The sequence below is a fragment of the Homo sapiens genome, chromosome 1 (assembly GCF_000001405.40).
Source record: "Homo sapiens chromosome 1, GRCh38.p14 Primary Assembly".
In the NCBI taxonomy this organism is placed as follows: Eukaryota; Metazoa; Chordata; class Mammalia; order Primates; family Hominidae; genus Homo; species Homo sapiens.
In genome coordinates, this window is record NC_000001.11 from 65,603,143 (window position 1) to 65,619,370 (window position 16,228).

A 16,228-nucleotide genomic window follows, 5' to 3' on the forward strand; every position below is an offset into this window, starting at 1 on the left:
GAGTTAATGACATATTTCATCTAATTATAATCACATGGTATAATTTCTCCTTGTAAATATTCAATATATGGTTTTTGCTGTCATGATAATGATGCCAACTTTTCGATTTCAAGTGTACTAGTACTGTGCTTCTACTTTGTTCTTATTTTCTACCCCCAGATGACCCCTCACTCCTCATTTTCATTTTTGCCCACGCACCACCATTTATTCACACACACACACACACACACATTCATGATTGTAATTTTGAGAAGACAAGAAAAAGAAGTGGTATAGAAAATAGAAAATGACAGAAGAATATAGATTTTTTAGCTTCTTCTAACTTCCTCACTCCCATCTCTTTGGAAAGAGTAATTGCTACTTCAGCTATTTAAATATAGTATTCAGAGCAAACATTGGCCCAAGAGGTTATTTCAAAGAAGAGGAAAAAGACTTTATGTCAAGTTTGTCCAACCCATGGCCTGGGGCCCCCATGTGGACTAGGATAGCTTTGAATGCAGCCCAACACAAATTTATAAACTGTCTGAAAACATTAGGAGATTTTTTTTGCAACTGGTTTTTTTTTTTTTTTTTGATTCATCAGCTATCGTTAGTATATTTTATGTGTGGCCCAAGACAGTTCTTCTTCCAGTGTGGCCTAGGGAAGCCAAAAGATTGGACACCCCTGCTTTATGGGTTCTGAGGTGGAGTGTTGGCTAGGACTCACTTATAAAATTTTTTTTAAATTTTCTTTTCTGAGAAAATGAGGAATATACATGGTTATATAATTCACATACATATCTGAAATTGGTATTATATTAACTTATATTAATTTGAACTAGAAAATTATATTCACCACTCATTTGTGGTGAAATTTAATTCTTTCTTCAAAGTGTGAGGAATTTGCCTTCCTTGCCATCTCAGGAATGCTCCATGACTACTTTCATCTATATTTTAAATATTCTATCACTAATACATAATGTTTGTTTAATTTTCAAATTATTGTAGGTTCTGTCTCTAACTGGATCATTTTCTTCTTTTTAGAGTATTTATTTCATTTGCATCCCTGCTTAGTGTCTAATGAAATATTTAATAAGAGTTACTGTCAGTTTCTGTGGAAAGATATAGAATTGGGAAAAATTAAAAAATGCCTTTCTAATAAGAATGTCTTTTTTTAGATGGAGTGAAATTGTCTGTATTTTATTTATTTTAATTTAATTTAATTTAATTTTATTTTGTTTTTGAGACAGTCTCCCTCTGTCGCCCAGGCTGCAGTGCAGTGGTACCATCTCCGTTCACTGCAACCTCCGCCTCCCCAGTTCAAGCGATTCTCCTGCCTCAGCCTCCCTAGTAGCCAGGACTACAGATGTGCATTTGTAGAGACAGGGTTTCCCCATGTTGCCCAGGCTGGTCTGGAACTCCTGGGCTCAAGTGATCAGCCCGCCTCAGCCTCCCAAAGTGCTGGGATTACAGGCATGAGCCACCGCACCGGGCCTTCTGCCTGTCTTTTAAACTTGGGGTCCCCAGTCCCTGGGCCACGGACCGGTACCTGTCTGTGGCCTCTTAGGAACCCGGCCACAAAGCGGGAGGTGAGAGAGCAGCATTACCACCTGCGCTCCACCTCCTGTCAGATCAGCGCAGCATTAGATTCTTAGAGGAGCAGAACCCTATTGTGAACTGGGCATGCGCTCCTCATGAGAATCTAATGCCTGGTGATCTGAAGTGGAACAGTTTCATCCCGAAATCCTGAACCATCTCCCATCCCCCATTAGTGGAAAAATTGTCTTCCATGAAACCGGTCCCTGGTGCCAAAAAGGTTGGGGACTGCTGTTTTAAACAACAAATCAGAATTCTCAGATATCTTCTTGTTGCTTTTATTAATGTATACTAATTGACTATTTTTGTATCTTTTAAAGGAGCAGCCTTTACTGTTCTGATATTCCATCTATTCATCCCATATCTGAGCCCAAAGATTGCTATTTGCAGAGTGATGGTTTTTATGAATGCATTTTCCAGCCAATCTTCCTATTATCTGGCTACACAATGTGGATTAGGATCAATCACTCTCTAGGTTCACTTGACTCTCCACCAACATGTGTCCTTCCTGATTCTGTGGGTATGTCAAGCTGCGTTGTGTCTTCATTTGTGTTAGCAGATTTGTATGCAGATTGATGCAGATTTAATGTTATATTTTGCCATTTTCTGATCACATTAGATTTTGAAAAAAAAATTGTTCCTGTTTACAGTGGTATTGAGAAAATCAGCCTTAGGAAGTTTTACAGTTTTGAATTCATTTCAAATTATTTATAGCAGACTTTTTTTAGCAATAGGAATATTTTCTGCACACTATTAGATGAAATACATGGGTCATTATGAATGAATTTTAGTAGTGTTTTTCTAAATAAGGCATTATTTTATGTTTTTGTTCCAATGTAGTTATGAAAACATGTAATATTTGTAATCCAAACGTTTAATTTGAATATTCTGAGGTTCTCAATAATCTGAGTACTCATAACTCAAGCCTTTAATTTGTGAGGCTATGTAGGGCACAGAAGCATTTAAAATAGCTAAATTGAAGTGGAGGAAATAGACAACAATGACATACATTATATTTTAAACATTCTTTTCAAAAAACTTTTGATTTCAAAGATATTAAGAGAGCCCTTGGAAAATGTGATATATTCTTTCCGGTTCATTGTGAAATCTCTGAGAAATGATTGTGCAACAGGAATGCAAAAATATCTTTTGGTGCTGTTACATATGTATAACTAAGGAAGCTTTTGTAGATCTTTTCTAAATGTTTGTTTTCAAGATAAGATGTCTAAAAACAAAACAAAAATGGGATTTTCAGTGAATTTTCCCCTCAAATAAAATATTCCTCAGTAGGAAACATGTTAGAATAATGTTCCATAAAAATATTAATATATACTATTTTGTTGGGGGATTATGTCAAAAATCAATATTTGAGTCATTATTTTTCAATTAATTAATACACATTTGAATTAAAACCTATAACCAAAAAATACACGATAAGATTGTCTTAATTATAAGATTTCTTTTTCAATGTAAAGTCCCAATGAATTCTCTCCCCACTGTTTAATTCCATTTTAAGTGATTTTTACTGCAGTGATACTTAATATCCCAGGATAGCAAGGAACCCTCCTACACTCCCCCAAACATGCACAGATAATAACACACTCACTTATAAGATATGACAAATGAAGCCTGGATTCAGTAACATATGTTACTTGAATAACCTATGGTGTTATCCTTTTCAAAACTAAAATAACGAGTTTAGGTTGGGCTTATATTGCCTACTTAGTACTAGAAAGTAACTCAACGTTGGGATCCAAATACCATCTCCACTTATTACTAGCCTTTAAATCCGGACTAGCCACACAGGCACTATGTGTCTGTTTTGTCATCCATAAAATGTAGACAGCTCCTCATACCTTCCCAGCATGGGTATTGAGGGAATCACGTAAACTATTGAACTTCAAGCATATCCTTTCTGCAGACTGGATATTCACTGCCAGTCTGCAGAAAGGATATGATTCATATGATTCAGTTAATTGCAAACACAGATTTAACCTCTTACAGTCTCTTGAATATTGATACTTCCTTTCCTGACAAGAAATTATCAAGAGGTGAAATACAGTATATATCATCTTCCTGGGTTGGTGGAGAATGTCTTTTTGTTCTATGAAGAATTGAATAATCATGATAAACTTTACATGACGGAAAAAGTTTAGGTATTTTTGTTATCAACAGTCAAAAGTATTATTGTTGATTGCTTAAAAATGATTTTAAAATACCATATGAAAGGGAGACTATACCTTTACACAGTGTTGGTTTTTGGCAAGTGAGACTTGGAGCAAGAGAATAATAAACACCCATATTGTGCCAATCCAGGTATTAAGTTTTCCCTGTGAATCATAACAGTAGCATGATTTATAAGACATGGGGAAATAAATCAAGAAGGTAAACCCTGGAACTCTATCGTCAGTTCTCTCTTAATTTTTCTTACACAGAGTGTCTACATTTGGCCTTAGTTATGGTTTGGGTTATTTAGGTTTCTTTTTGTTGGTGGTGGTTTGTTGGTTGGATGGTTTCATACATTAGCCCTTCAGCTTCCCTTTTTGCTACTGCAGTTGTTTCCTGCATATTCCAGCCAAGGGCCATCTCTCACTTTAGATTGTCCACTGGCAGGGGTGACTGTCAAAATAATGACCAAGAGGAGGGCCATTCCAGCTGCAATCCCAGAGGCCTCTGCTGTACCAGGCATTGACCTTTTAGGTTCTGAGCCGTGGGCAGGTGTGGAGGGCATCCAACCTGAGCAGTTCTGGAGGAGATATTCCTCAGGAGAGCACCTCTTTACCAGTTGGTATGGATGTACTTAATATTTTTAACAACTGTTTTGACATACCAACTGAATATATGTCCTCTAAATGGAATCTTCTAGTCTTAGTGCAGATAATCAAGACATGACTATGTAAATGTAGTGTGTATCATAAAGTTGATGCTTGGAGTCATAACAGAGTTAGGGCTTCAGAGACGCACTGTTATGCTTGGGCTTTCAGGCTTTTAGTTTAAAATATGCCACATTTCCATATTGCCTGTTATTGTCAGGAAGATTGGCCCTCAAAGTTAAAAATTAAGAACTTGGGGGAAAACTTATGTAGTGAATCTAAGCCTAAGGTAGTTTTTACTTTAGCTCTGAAAGCAGCATCATAAAAAGGTGATAGGAAAACAGGGAAGATAACCTTTTTCTTTGCATTTCTATGATTTTTACATTACACCTTTAAACATGTCTTGTTATGTACATATACGTATCTATTTTAAAAATCACTTGCTATTCAGACCATCTTTGCCTCTATTACTGCCCATTAAAAGCCTGTTTTCCTCAGATTATAGAAAACCAAGGCTTTGCTCTGAGAGACTATCTCTGACCTTGACCTAGAAATATTTAATGATACACAGCAGCATAAGAGTTTCACACTCACACATATGGAAATTGATGCAGTCCATGGGTTTTTTTTTTTTTTGCCTTTAATTAAAGTTCAATGGAGAACAGTTTGTTATTGATATTTAGCATGTGTTCAGCATGGTATCTTTTTTTTTTTTTTTGAGACGGAGTCTGGCTCTGTCGCCCAGGCTGGAGTGCAGTGGCGCAATCTCGGCTCACTGCAAGCTTCACCTCCCGGGTTCATGCCATTCTCCTGCCTCAGCCTCCTGAGTAGCTGGGACTACAGGCGCCCGCCACCACGCGTGGCTAATTTTTTGTATTTTTTAGTAGAGACGGGGTTTCACCGTGTTAGCCAGGATCGGCATGTTATCTTTTGCTTGCAGAGCCAATGGTTCAATTTCTAATCAGGTACTACTACTAGCTTTCAGAGTAACATGAATAATGTATTGACTTTTTTCAGTCAAGTCTATATTTGCGAAAAAGAGATAAATCCCTCTTTTAATATATCACATAAAGTAATAGGGAAACAAATGAGATAATGAGTGAGAAAGTTATGAAGAAGATATTGCTTGATGAATACAGATGTATGAAAATATAACACAATGTTTTTAGGCATTATTACTATTTAAATTACCATCACTTAATACTATTGTAAAAATTTCTAGTGAAGCCACTGCCTCCATCCAGTGTGAAAGCAGAAATTACTATAAACATTGGATTATTGAAAATATCTTGGGAAAAGCCAGTCTTTCCAGAGAATAACCTTCAATTCCAGATTCGCTATGGTTTAAGTGGAAAAGAAGTACAATGGAAGGTACCTTTTACTTAGAACTTCAGCTTTCCTCATTAAATGCTATTTTTATAATATGTAAGAGTTTAATTGCATTAGATTAATTTTATTGGCATAAAAGTACATTCTCCTGTATTGTGTAGCTATTTTCATTAAATAGATTTATCTAAGTCTAACTTTTTTAAAGAACAAAGTTTCCTGAAATCCATCATTCCCTGAAGTGTGTTTTATAGAACGTTGGTTGCATATTATGTTCCTTGGAAAAAGATTAAATGGCTAAATCAGTTTAGGAAACCCTGTATCACTGTATCTTCCTTGTGTAGTCACGGTATACATATTACATATTCAAGGTTTGGAGAGGTCCTTCATTAAAGAAAAATTTGTGACCTTATTTCATCTCATGTTCCCCAAACTAATTTTTCCAAGGAACTGTTGTTTCTCTAACATCTGTTGATATCTTTTAGTACATACATGTTTAGTGGAATGCATTTTGGAAGAAGCTGCTTTTCAAACAAACAGAGTCATTCCCGTAGTGGCAAGTGTGCCTATCATGGCATTCCACATCAGCTTTGTGACGGCAGCCTGCAAAGACCTAGAAATATCAGAAACCCTTATTGTATCATTAGATCACAATGATATCAACTAAAACAAATGTGACAGTTTAGCTGCTATTGAAGAATACTGAATATCAGCGATTTGCTACAGTAGGTCCTATCTAACCAATACGTTTAAATTCTTTTTAAATTCTTAAAACATCTTTGTGGGTAGAGGATTAGTGGACAGGGATTAGTAGGAGGGTAAGAGAGTGTTTGGGAAACAAGGTTGCAAGTAAACCAGTTCAAAATCTTGTCATCATCAGCAAGGGAGTGACAAGATAAATAAGAAAATCCTTGACTTGAAGGAGTTTACAATCCAAGCCTAATTGTGACTATTTCTGAAGGCAGAGAACACAGAATCAGTTCTCTTAATTTTGGAATAGTGTTAAGGTTTAAAATAAAATGTACTTCAGGGCCCTTTAGATACATATGTGTTGGTAATGATCAATCTAATGCTTTGACTTATTTTACAGATGTATGAGGTTTATGATGCAAAATCAAAATCTGTCAGTCTCCCAGTTCCAGACTTGTGTGCAGTCTATGCTGTTCAGGTGCGCTGTAAGAGGCTAGATGGACTGGGATATTGGAGTAATTGGAGCAATCCAGCCTACACAGTTGTCATGGATATAAAAGGTCTGCAGAGATTTTGTAAATGTGTTTTGAAAGTGCATAAGTGTGTGCTTCAAATATGGCTGAAAAGTATTTCTTCAAAAACATATACACAACTTGTCATTTTGCAGTTCCTATGAGAGGACCTGAATTTTGGAGAATAATTAATGGAGATACTATGAAAAAGGAGAAAAATGTCACTTTACTTTGGAAGGTATTCCCAATTTTAATATTAATCTTAAATTGTATTTTTATACTCTTAAAAATTTACTTCATGGTCCATAATCCTGTTATTAATCTTCGGAAAGCTCAACAATCCTGTATTTTCATTGCATTTATGAGATGTATTTAAAGAGAGCTAAGATGTACAGTGGCTGAAGCACTGGCATAGTGTTAGGAGACTTTCATTCTCTTCTTAGCTTCACATATTATAGTTACGTCAGTACTATTTGGGCAAAGTTACTTAGACTCTTTGGGCCTCAGTTTTCTCATCTGTGTAAATGTAATATTGAACTAGATGATAGGCAGTGTTTCTTGGAGTCTAAAAATTGTATTCATATTTAATCCTGAACAATGTAAATGTCACCTTCCCCGCACACCCCAAGGGCATCTAACACATGACAGAGTATTCCATTTATGTGATGGCATAAAAACAGTGGATAGTCCCATATATGATGGCTGTTTAGCCTAGTAATTTTCAAAGCATCCTCTCCCAAATGAACTGATTTCTATTTCAAGTGAATAGTTTATTTGGTCAGTAAATGCCAAATTTAAGATTGACTTGGGAATACAACACATGAAGTCAAAGAGTATTTCTGTCACTCCAAATGTGAATTGTAAGTTTAATACCCAAGGTTGAATGAGCACATGTTTGAAAATGGTTTCCTGATGTAAGACCAAAGCCTCTGTAAAAGTTGTGGTATATAAGAATTTATGTTCATTTGGTTTCTAAATCCAGTTACTCTATAATTTCATTTGGTGAATAATCAATGCAATTTCTAAAGTCTTCCATTTCAATATTTCTTAAAATAATTTTTTATTCTTTTATTTCATTTCTTTTATCATTGCTCTCCTTAAAAAATTTAGTTTCTTTTGTTATTGCTCTCTTTTCTTTTTCTAGCAAACCATTCCTTCAACACATTTTAATATTTCCAACTTAAAGTTAGCATTAGAACTGACAGACATTTATGAGCCATTTATTGTATTCTGAACACTTCATACAGATCTCCACCTCCCGGGGAATTCAGGACCTGTATTCTGAGAGATTGAGTGGGCGGTTGAACCCACCGCGGAAGGGGGCACTGCTGAATAAGAAACAAGAGTCTTGCCCGACAGATTATTTTTCTCATATTTTTGGTTTTATCTCCATGGGCACTGTTCCAGATACCTGCAAACTTCTACAGTGAAGGACAGGCAGTGATGTTCCCATGTTTGTGGTAGGGCCAGCTATGAGCAGAATTTAAGTAGCTTTTCTTTTTCTTTGATTTGTCCTCTCAGAGCTGTAGTCAACAGCCCTTTGGCCTAGGCTACAGCTACCCTCTCCCATTGCAATATACTCTAGAACAAAACAGTTGTCTTTCTCCAGACAGTTCTTATGTTTTCCTCATATCATGGATTCCACATTTCCTCAGCAATGCTGCCAATAGAAGTTTCTGTAATGATGAAAATGGTTTATATCTGCATTGTCCAATATGGTAGCAACCAGCCACATGTGGTTATTAAGCACTTGAAATGTGCCTAGTGTGACTCAGCAACTGAATTTTAAATTGTATTTAATTTTGATTAATTTAAATTTAAATGGCTGCAAGTGGCCAGTGGCTATCTTTTTGGACAACAAAGCTCTATGGGTTCTTTAGGGGTGATTTGTGGGAGGGAGACAGGACCCTTGCTAATCTACCATCTTTGCAGAACCTTGAATGCCTTTTATTAGTCAATTTGCCTTTCATTAATTTTGTTTTGTGCTGTTTTGTTGTGTTTTCCTAAACTGAGATAATAGTTCAATGATTACGGTTCTCCAAGCCTATGCCTCTTAAACCGGGATAAGATTTGCTTAAGGAGTAAGCCACAAGGCCACAGGATAAGTATGGCACTTTTTAAAAAATATCATTTCTCTGGCATTTTTAAAATAATAAACTTTACGTTAAGGCAGTTTTAGAGTTACAAAAAGACGGCAAAGATAGTACAGAGAATTCCTATGTATTCCCACACCAAGTTTTCTCTAGTATTAACATCTTAGGCTAGTATGATACATTTGTTACAATGAATTAAACAATATTGATATGTCATCATTAACTCATCTGTAATTTATTTCAAATCCAAATTTCCTTAGCTTTTACCCAATGTTCTTTTTCTGGTTCAGGATTCCATCCAGGATAGCAGATTTCATTTAGTAGTCATACCTCCTTATGCTTCTCTTGGTTGCAAAAGTTTCTTAGATCTTCTTTGTTTTTATGAACTTGACACAATTGAGAAGTACTGGTCGGGTATTTTGTAGAATCTCCATCAAATGGGTTTTGTCTAATGTTTTCTCATGATTAATTTAGGGTTATGTGTCATACCTCCTTATGCTTCTCTTGGTTGCAAAAGTTTCTTAGATCTTCTTTGTTTTTATGAACTTGACACAATTGAGAAGTACTGGTTGGGTATTTTGTAGAATCTCCATCAAATGGGTTTTGTCTAATGTTTTCTCATGATTAATTTAGGGTTATGGGTTTGGGGGAGGAAGATCACAGATGTAAAATGCCATTCCATCACATCATATTAAGGATACATTCTACCAATGTGACTTACCATAGTTGATGTTAACCTTGCTCGTCTGGCTGAGGTAGTGTTGTCTGGCTGAGGTAGTGTTGTCTGGCTTCCCACTGGAAAGTTACTCTTTTTTCTCCTTTCTCCATTTTAGTTTTAAAAATGAAGTCCCCATGCTTAAGGAGTAGGAGTCATGTTCCACCTACTTGAAGGTAGAGGACCTACATATATTATTTAGTGTTCTTCTGCATGGGAGATTTGTCTGTTCTCCCACATTAACTATTTTATTTATTCAATCATTTATTTATATTAGTATGGACAATGAACATTTATTTTAGACTTGGTTTGTAATCCAATACTACTTTATTTTGTTGCTGAAAATATTCCTGCTTCAGTCATTGGGAGCTCTTTTAATTGACTCATGTTCCTTTGACATGCCCCCGTCATTGTGGGGTTTTTTATTTTAATTTTTGAGTACTGGTAAGTTCGACTTTATTAAAATTAAAAACTTCTGATCTGGGAAAGACTGTCAAGAGGATGAAAAGTTAAGGCACAGACTGGGTGAAAATATTTGCAAAAACACACATCTGATAAAGGACTTATAACCAAATTACACAAAGAAATCTTTAAGATTCAACAGGGGCCGGGCGCGGTGGCTCACGCCTGTAATCCCAGCACTTTGGGAGGCCGAGGCGGGTGGATCACGAGGTCAGGAGATCGAGACCATCCTGGCTAACAAGGTGAAACCCCGTCTCTACTAAAAATACAAAAAATTAGCCGGGCGCGGTGGCGGGCGCCTGTAGTCCCAGCTACTCGGGAGGCTGAGGCAGGAGAATGGCGTGAACCCAGGAAGCGGAGCTTGCAGTGAGCCGAGATTGCGCCATTGCAGTCCGCAGTCCGGCCTGGGCAACAGAGCGAGACTCCGTCTCAAAAAAAAAAAAAAAAAAAAAAACCAAGTATCTGAACAAAAACCTAGCCAAAGTAGATATACAGATGACAAATATGAATATTAAAAGATGTTCAACATCATTCATCACTAAAGAGTTGCAAATTAAAACAAGATACCACTCCACATCTATTAGAATGGCTAAAATCCAAAAAAAAAACCTGACAATACAAATTGCTGGTGAGGATGCAGGGCAGCAAGAACTTTTATTCATTGCTGTGGAAATGCAAAATGGTACAGCCACTTTGGAAGCCAGTTTGGTAATTTCTTACAAATTTAAACATAGCCTTACCAACCACATGATGCAACATTGCATCCTAGGTATTTACTCAGCTGATTTGAAAACTTAAGTCTACATAGAAACTTGCACATGAATGTTTAAGCAGCTTTAGTTATATTCACCCCAAACTAGAGGCAACTAAGATATCCTTCAAAAATGAAACGATTCTGTATACTTCTGAAATGGTGGGTATATAGCACTATGCATTTGCCAAAACTCCTCGAACTTCATAGCACAAAGAGTGAATCTTAATGCATGTAGATTAAAAAGAAAATCATTTAGGAGGTTGAAGGATCCCAGGATTGACTGTAAACTGTGACAAAGGAATCTACCTGTATTACAAGTGTATGAAGCAACTTCACTGAAGGTGGTGGGAGAAAAGGCCACTTTGGAACTTGAGTGGAGTTGTTGGAAATGTGTGGAATCTTAAGACTAAAGGCAAAAGAAACTGTACATAAGCACTGTACTCTAGTTGATACAGTTCTCACAGGGCTATGGGCTAACAATTATGGTACTGCTCTACATGTACTCTGGAAGGGGACAAGCAAGTAAATGGATGGTGGATGGTGGGACCCAGATTTCTCACTGTTGGATTGGGAGGTTACACACAAGCACAGGATGATCCATGTGGCAATGAATTAGAGTTGGGGATATAGGTATGAACTTATATCTAGCTTAATATAGATATAGCTAGATTCTGGTTTAGGATACATGTACATTTTCTTGATTTGTAAGGTAAGAGGGCCTAAAAGTAATGACATCCAGTAGTAAGACATGTGCCCAGACTTGTTTCTAATTACCATCGTTCAATAATAGAAACAAGGGCTATTGGAAGAAATGGCTAATTTTAGGGTTGGGGCAGAAAATATACGAGATTAGCCTGGAGGATCTTGTAGTACCAGAAAGTAAGGAAGCTTAACATTCTCTTACTTGATGGTTACCAAAAAAGTATTCATTAAAACTGACATGTTTTTTTTTCAAATAAAATGCAACATTTGCATGACTTTGAAACATTTCTTTCTTGCGGTGGCTGCTAAAATCTTACTTTCAACCTATCCAGATGATTCCAAGTTTTGCAGGGATACATGTATATGTGTTTATTTTTCTCTGCCATTTCTAACTTAGAGGCATCTCACCGGCAAGAAATTGAGATGTACTGTTCTAGTCTATGATATACAGTCCAGCCTTCTCTGTCTTTATAAGGGATTGCCAGCATTTAATCTTACCTGCCATAGGTGAAGTTGATTGGGGAAATGGGGTACACTGTTAACCTCTGTGGAATATAAGAATAGAATTGAACTAGACACTTATTTTACATTCGGATCTTTAATGACCTGATATTATTATTTTTAATTATATGACAGAAATTCTGGGGTGCCATAGACACTGTTTTGATGGCCTCTGTTACTCATTAACCTTTGCAGACATTCTTACATTCTAGATAATCTTCCAAGAGTATCAGAGGAAAGGAAAATGAATGACAAATCTTACTATGATCAATATATGATGATTAACACCTTCACAGCTCTTGTTGTTGCTTTTCATTTTCTGAGGGTTATTCCTTGTTTGCTTTTTAGATGAGGAAACTCTCTACTCCTTATGTCTTTCATTTCTCTAAAATTAGAGTGAAACTTCTTGGTAGAAAAGTGTCTTGATCATATCCCTACTTTATTATCTTCAAGTGATTTATTCTCTGGGCCTTAAGAAAAAAACCTCAAAAAGGGGAAAATAAGTTTGCTATGCTCCATAACGATCCAGACACCTTCATGGAGACTGTGGCAGAGGCAAACTCTATCCCACCCATCTCCCCAGCCTCTCAGCCTTGTAATAGTACCTGCCCTGATCTGGCCCCTGCCTCCTAATAAGAAATGTAGAATGAGAGTTATGTGAGCTCAGTTAGTATAAAAAGCACTGCAGCCCTTAAACTAATCAATTTCTATATTTACTACAGCCCCTGATGAAAAATGACTCATTGTGCAGTGTTCAGAGATATGTGATAAACCATCATACTTCCTGCAATGGAACATGGTCAGAAGATGTGGGAAATCACACGAAATTCACTTTCCTGTGGACAGAGCAAGCACATACTGTTACGGTTCTGGCCATCAATTCAATTGGTGCTTCTGTTGCAAATTTTAATTTAACCTTTTCATGGCCTATGAGCAAAGGTAAGAAGAGGTACAGAGTGGTAATCCATTGCCTCTTTTAATATTTAACTTTTGCAAACTCTCCTATTTTAAATTATCTTTCAAGCAGCCTGCAATTCTCTGCATCTGAAAGTCTCTCTTTCACCTTTCATTTCCTTTGTCTGGAAAAATAACAAAGTACATTGTACAATGATCACATAATACAGTCCTTGAGCTTTCATTTGGGAGAACATTGTTGTAATGGTGTTATAATATATGAGAATGTTTTAGTGAATCTAATACTTAAATCTTTTGGACCAATGGAGATCTTTAGGTCAATAATTCTCTCTCCCTATGTACATATACATGTATATATTTATATTCATACATACACACATATAAATATGTAAAAATAAGTATATATCATATTAAATATATATTTAACACTATGTAAAATAGTAATAGCATGACATGTTATATGGATGCAGGTTAATTGCTGAGACTTAAAATTACTATGGACTTCATTGAATGTGAGTAGCAAACCTTCTTGCATTAATTTTGATATATCTGATTAATCGGAGAATTGAGACCCACTTTCAATAGGAATTTCTAGTCTAGATTACATATTCAAAGTGTAAATTTTTAATGGAAAATACAAATTTTCTGTGTCTCTACCAATCTATAAAGGCCTTTCCAACTGTTACCTCCTTTATGAAATCTTTGCTTATTGCTTTAATTGAATATGCCCTATCTCTTCTTTAAATCTCAGAGTGCTTCCTGTCTTTCTTATTTTATGTCCTGTTTACATTATGATTACCTTTGTATTTATAGTGTTAAGCATCGAGTTCCATAGCACCCAGCTCAGTGTTTTATGCTTAACATTTCCTAAGTATATATATTCTAGAAATATCTGTAGAATGCGTCAGTGGGGTAGGTAGTGGGAATTGTAATGTGAGAAAAACTATAATGGTTGGAGTGTCCAGAGCCTAATAGGTAAGACAGGTATTAATGAAATAATCATACAAGTGAATGTCTATTTGCAAACTGAGAGATAAGGGCCTGCAGGAAAGGAATATAATTTTATGAAAGGAATGAAAAAAAGGAACCTGACCTGGCATTGAGATTCAGAGAAGCCACCTTGAGGAAGTGGTACTGAACTGAAATCTGAAATGTGAGTAGGAATTAAACTTCCCCAAAAGATGTAGGGGAGGGCAGGAAAAGCATTGGCTCCTAACAAGAGCAGCCAGATCAAAAGTCTATGGCACAGGATAGAAAATGAAGAAAGACCAGGGTGGCTTTGGTGTGGGAAATCATGGAAGGCAGAGAGGTGCGTTGAGACTTGGCCCTCAGGGCCTTGCAGGCATGATAGGAATTTTACCCTCAAATGTAGAAATCCGCTGGAGGCTTTTAAGTGGGATGCTGTGCAGATGGTGTTAAAATGAACAGATTTGTGCTTTGAGAGTATCACTCCATCAGTGGGAGAGGATGGTTAATAGGCTTGTGCAGTATTCCATATGAGAATGCCTTTTTGAATATATCAAAAAATTGCTTTTTAAGGTTTTAGGGAGTATCATGTTTCTCTTCAATGTCATCTATTCCCATATCTCTCTGTTTAAATGACTCTCATGATGCAAAAGTAATTGTCATGTATCATATTTATTTGTGTAAATTGTCTGTCTTCTCTTCCTTATTCCCTTTAGTAGGTTATAAGTTCCTCAAGAGTATTAGTAGATTTTTATTAATTTTTAATTTAAAAATTAATTTCCTTCTTTTCCCCTCAGTAAATATCGTGCAGTCACTCAGTGCTTATCCTTTAAACAGCAGTTGTGTGATTGTTTCCTGGATACTATCACCCAGTGATTACAAGCTAATGTATTTTATTATTGAGTGGAAAAATCTTAATGAAGATGGTGAAATAAAATGGCTTAGAATCTCTTCATCTGTTAAGAAGTATTATATCCATGGTAAGTTTACTATACTTTAGTAAGTTGCTCTCATGGATTAATATGACACTACAGATTATTAATTCTATTAATATAGCCAGTTAATGAAAACTTCAAAAATATAGAGGATACTACCATCCTAATACATATAATCCTATAACCTTTATCAAAACATTTAATTCTCTTCCTCTTCTCTTCTCTTCTCTTTTCTTTTCTTTTCGGCAGGGTCTCTCTGTGTTGCCCAGGCTAAAGTGCAGTGGAACAAACATGGCTCACTGCAGCCTCAACCTTCTGGGCTCAAGCTATCTTTCCACCTCAGCTTCCTGAGTAGCTGAGACTATAGACACACACCATCACACCCAGCTAATTAAAATTTTTTTTTTTTGGTAGAGACAAGGTCTCACTATGTTGCTCAGGCTGGTCTTGAACTCCTAAGCTCAAGTGATCCTCCTGCCTTGGCCTCCCAAAGTGTTGGGATTACAGGCATGGGCCACCACACCCAGCCTAATTCTGTTTCCTTTGACATTTTCTCATTTTAACATTTTATACAGGGGTTATCATATCATATCATATCATATATCCTATCCTATCATATCATATCAATTTTCTCCTCATTTCTTTCTACCATTATTTTTAATGATATAGCATTTTATTCCAAAGTCCACTTAAACTGTTTGAGATTCTTTATGTTGCTTCCAGCTTTATCTTTTCTTAAATCATTTTTTAACAGCTTCTGATATCTTCTGCCAAATTGTTTCCTCAAACTGTGTACCAACTTATAATGCCACTAACAATGAGTGGGAATGCTAGCCTGAAGGTCTGAGGAGCTAGGACTGGGTGACCTAGACCAGGGTATTCTCCCAAAGTTAGACCAGTTATTCCAGGAGGTGAGTCAAGCACAAAGTATAAGTGCACAAGACAGCATTTCTAAGTCTGAGTAAGGATTGAGGAAAGTTAACTAGGGAAGCTAAGGATTGCTATGATCTTATTATACAATATCATTCTAAGGACTCATACCATTATTTTATTCCAGGGACCTAGAATTTAGCATCAGGGTAAATTTATTTACAAATTGTTGAACTGAATTTAGTTCATCACCACTGATGCGCAGGTAGTTTCTCTCTGTGCTTTTCTTTAAACCATGAGGATATAAAATTTAGGCTTCACAGAGATCTCTCTTCTTCTGGATATATTCTTCTAGAAGAATATTCATATATTATTAGCATTTGTGAAAATCATGATGGA

General features: G+C 36.3%; 1 protein-coding gene across 6 annotated transcripts in view, besides 1 other annotated feature; it reads left to right on the top strand.

The window, feature by feature from the left end:
- Positions 1-16,228, top strand: part of LEPR (leptin receptor) — a 220,908-nt gene that overhangs the window by 182,491 nt on the left and 22,189 nt on the right. For all 6 annotated transcript variants that reach the window (NM_001003679.3, NM_001003680.3, NM_002303.6 and 3 more), the window contains 6 exons: positions 1,896-2,095; positions 5,611-5,759; positions 6,805-6,964; positions 7,072-7,154; positions 12,866-13,082; positions 14,822-15,004. In NM_001003679.3, coding sequence (NP_001003679.1) covers positions 1,896-2,095; positions 5,611-5,759; positions 6,805-6,964; positions 7,072-7,154; positions 12,866-13,082; positions 14,822-15,004 — 992 coding nt within the window. The remainder of the gene's footprint in view (positions 1-1,895; positions 2,096-5,610; positions 5,760-6,804; positions 6,965-7,071; positions 7,155-12,865; positions 13,083-14,821; positions 15,005-16,228) is intronic.
- Positions 12,804-13,098: a silencer, noted in NCBI's record as "tiled region #5730; HepG2 Repressive non-DNase unmatched - State 24:Quies". NCBI's record gives its function as "represses a minimal TATA promoter and a strong SV40 promoter by Sharpr-MPRA in HepG2 cells {active_cell/tissue: HepG2}" and the evidence as "EXISTENCE:reporter gene assay evidence [ECO:0000049][PMID:27701403]".